The sequence below is a fragment of the Homo sapiens genome, chromosome 1 (genome assembly GCF_000001405.40).
Source record: "Homo sapiens chromosome 1, GRCh38.p14 Primary Assembly".
In the NCBI taxonomy this organism is placed as follows: domain Eukaryota; kingdom Metazoa; phylum Chordata; class Mammalia; order Primates; family Hominidae; genus Homo; species Homo sapiens.
Window position 1 is genome coordinate 52892077 of NC_000001.11, and position 3833 is coordinate 52895909.

At 45.3% G+C, this 3833-nt stretch overlaps 1 protein-coding gene across 6 annotated transcripts in view; it reads left to right on the top strand.

The window, feature by feature from the left end:
- The window catches only part of ZYG11A (zyg-11 family member A, cell cycle regulator), a 52239-nt gene extending 49317 nt beyond the window's left edge, over positions 1 to 2922 (top strand). For all 6 annotated transcript variants that reach the window (NM_001004339.3, XM_011541482.4, XM_011541480.4 and 3 more), the window contains one exon: positions 706 to 2922. In NM_001004339.3, the coding sequence (NP_001004339.2) occupies positions 706 to 881 (176 nt within the window). In that variant the 3' untranslated portion in view covers positions 882 to 2922. The remainder of the gene's footprint in view (positions 1 to 705) is intronic.
- Positions 2923 to 3833: the final 911 nt, after the last annotated feature.

The window sequence follows — 3833 nt, forward strand, 5'->3', positions numbered from 1 at the left end:
TTTTAGTAGAGACGGGGTTTCACCGTGTTAGCCAGGATGGTCTCGATCTCCTGACCTCATGATCCGCCCGCCTCGGCCTCCCAAAGTGCTGGGATTACAGGCGTGAGCCACTGCGCCCAGCCACATCTGGGGGTTTTCAACATCATTTAACTAGGATTAAAGATGTTTGGGCCAGGCATGGTGGCTCACGCCTGTAATCCCAGCACTTTGGGAGGCCGAGGCGGGCGGATCATGAGGTCAGGAGATCGAGACCATCCTGGCTAACACGGTGAAACTCCGTCTCTACTAAAAATACAAAAAAATTAGCCGGGCGTGGTGGGGCATGCCTGTAATCCCAGCTACTTGGGAGGCGGAGGCAGGAGAATTGCTTGAGCCCGGGAGGTGGAGGTTGCAGTGAACCGAGATTGCGCCACTGCACTCCAGCCTGGGCAACAAGAGCAAAACTCTGTCTCAAAAAAAAAAAGAAAAAGATGTTTGAAGCATAGAGTTGTCTGGAAGTAAACATACTAAAATGAGCATCTGTTACCTCATACAAGCCAAGCAAGTTTTGAAGAACTGCTTTAGAATTGACTCATTTTATCTGTTAATTCCTAGGCCAAAGAGCTTAAACCTTTGTATTGTTTCTTCAGCAAGGTGAATGTGGTGACATGGGAGTATTTAAAATGCCAGTTGTCCATGGAGTGTCTCTGCTTGATTTTCTTTCAGCCAGCAAATACTGCAAAATGTTAGTTGAAGAAGAAGGATTGCAGCTTTTGTGTGATATCCAGGAGCACAGTGAGGCAACCCCCAAAGCACAGCAGATTGCAGCCTCCATTCTGGATGACTTCAGAATGCATTTCATGAATTATCAGAGGCCCACTCTGTGTCAAATGCCCTTCTGAACCTAAGGAATTTCAGAGGTGTGTGCTCTTCCTCAATGTCAGGTGTTCTGCCCTGGCAGTAATTGCACATCAGTTGTCATTGGAGTTTGTGAGTTGGCTGTCTCATTGGCCTTTGATTGTTGATTTTATATATGTTACAAAAGGTTGGATTTGTATGATAGCTGTAATCCCAAGTCAAGTTGGACTCATTCTGCAGCCTTTCAGCAGCAATTTTGAAGACTCAAACCGTGGACTCTGGGAAGGCCTGGGAGCTTGTGTTGGAACAGCTATGCAAGTTACTTTTCTCTAGCCTTGGACAATTTTTTCCCTTTGGGAGCTTGTCATGGGAGTGGGACCTGTTCACTAGAAGAGAAAGGAAACCTACAGGGAGACTTTGATATTTATATTAAATTTCCTTTGTTGTTATCGTCATGTGAAGCTATGAGAAAAGCTTGGGAAGCATATGCTTCAAAATGTAGTGTTTAGAAGGCAGAACCCCTGTTGGAGAGCGGGGAAAAGAATTTATTTATTTATTTATTTATCTATGGCTGGGTATGGTGGCTCACGCCTGTAATCCCAGCACTTTGGGAGGCCAAGGCAGGTGGATTGTCTGAACTCAGGAGTTCGAGATCAGCCTTGCCAACGTGGTAAAACTCCGTCTCTACCAAAAAATACAAAAATTAGCTGAGCGTGGTGGTGTGCACCTTTACTCCTAGCTACTTGGAGGCTGAGGTGGGAGGACCACTTGAGCCCAGGAGGCAGAGGTTGCAGTGAGCTGAGATTGCACCACTGCACTCCAGCCTGGATGACAGAGTGAGACCTCATCTCAAATGAATAGAGGGGTGGAGAAAAGAGAAATATATTTTTTTACCTTTTTTTTTTTTTTTTTTTTTGTGACGGAATCTCGCTCTGTCGCCCAGGCTGGAGTGCAGTGGCACAATCTCGGCTCACTGCAACCTCTGCCTCCCAGGTTCCAGCAATTCTCCTGCCTCAGCCTCCTGAGTAGCTGGGACTACAGGCACATGCCGCCACGCCCGGCTAATTTTTGTATTTTTTAGTAGAGACAGGGTTTCACCATATTGGTCAGGCTGGTCTCGACCTCCTGACCTCGTGATCCACCCGTCTCGGCCTCCCAAAGTGCTGGGATTACAGGTGTGAGTCACTGCACCTGGCCTTTTTACAATTTTGGGTGTCTATCTTTGGCATGTTTCCTGTTATGTGAGCATGACATGCTGTGTATGTGAGTGAGCTTGTAGGGCGTGGTGGGACTTAGGCATTTGCAGACAGTGTTTAGATGAAAGATTACATGTAATGATAAATCTGAATCCCTCCATTTTATTTGGGTGGAACCATGACCAAAAATGGTAGGAAGACGAAAGGCCAGAAAGAGACTTTGCCAGAGAGTTCACGGAGTTTTCTTACCCCGCATGCTGACTAAAGAAAACATGGGCTTTTCTGAAACCAGCTTCAACTACAGTATAAACTATATCAGAAGCTTACTTGATAAGCCTTGCGGAGCTGCTCTGAGGAATAGTGTGAATTCCTTCCTTGCCTTATTGTTGACTGTTAATGAACATGTTTTGTCATTTATCTGTTTAAGTTTTTCAGAAAATAAAAGTAAATTTCTGTTAGCACATTTTAGGATTAGATTTTTGTGCTTTTGGCTGGCTTGGTTCAGATTCTTAACTAGAGTACCATGTACTGTCTTTGGAAATCAAATGAGGAAGAAGCTCATTCTCTTACTCTAAACCATGTTCCAAACTATTACCAGAGTCCAACCAGATAAGCAGAATTTGTAACCTTACTTCCTTCCATAGTCCTTAAACTGTACTGTATTTTTTCACACTCTTGCATGATTCCAAAAGGATATCTTCCTGACCTGGGTTCTAGTACCTCAGAGCATTGTTATCAGATGCTAGCTTATTCTAATGTGAGGATGTGTTAGGGGAACTAGTGTGTTAAGTCCAATTCTGTACAAGACATCCTTTCAAGTTCTGTGTCATTCACAACAATCCTCACGGGTAGGTGAGTTTTATTTTCCTCACTTAACAGATGAGAAAAAGGAAGTTCAGTAAGGTGGTTACTTTCCTGGGTTGTCATAGCTGGTGTGGTTTGTGCTGACTGTAAAGGCCTGGGCTCTCCTGTGTTATTCTTCCTTCCAGGATGCAAGCATAACCCTGGGAGCACATTTGTATTTTGCAGAAATCCGCAATGTTATTTATATTGTATCCATGCCCATGGTTTAGTGACTCTAGGCCAGGCTGAGGCTCAGCTTAGCCAGCGCTCAGATCCAGTTGGAGAATGACTGCAAAGGCATAGCTTAAGATGTAGCCTTGGTACCAGAGGAGGGAGGGGTATTGGGACCAGTATGGTTATGTATCAGCCTGCTCTTGGTTTTCTAAGTGTATCATCCTCTTCCTCACCTTTGCTCATGCTGTGTCAAGCTTCCTCTTCTGTACTTGAAATGTTCCTTAATCCTTCAGGCTTCAATTCCAATGTTAGTTGCCCATTTCCGGATCCTCCCTTCTTTCCATTAGAGTTAATTGCCCCTTTCTTCTCAGTGCTCCTAAATGCTATCAAAGAGTCTCCTGGAGGCTAGGTGTAGTGGCATACACCTGTAATCCCAGCACTTTGGGAGGCCCAGGCGGGCGGATTGCTTGAGCCCAATAGTTCAAGACCAGCCTGGGTGATATGGCGAAATCCTGTCTCTACAAAAAAATACAAAAATTAGCTGGGCATGGTGGCATTTGCCTGTAGTCCCAGCTACTCCAGAGGCTGAGGTGGGAGGATCACTTGAGCCTGGGAAGTGGAGGCTGCAGTGACCTGAGATGGCGCCACTGCACTCTAGCCTGGAGCCTGGGTGGCAGAGTGAGACCCTGTCTCAAAAAATAAAAAGAATTTTCTGCCACCCTGTAGTTTACAAAAGTGTTTCACAGTGATGATTTCGTTTGGTCCTCACGAAAACACTGTAAG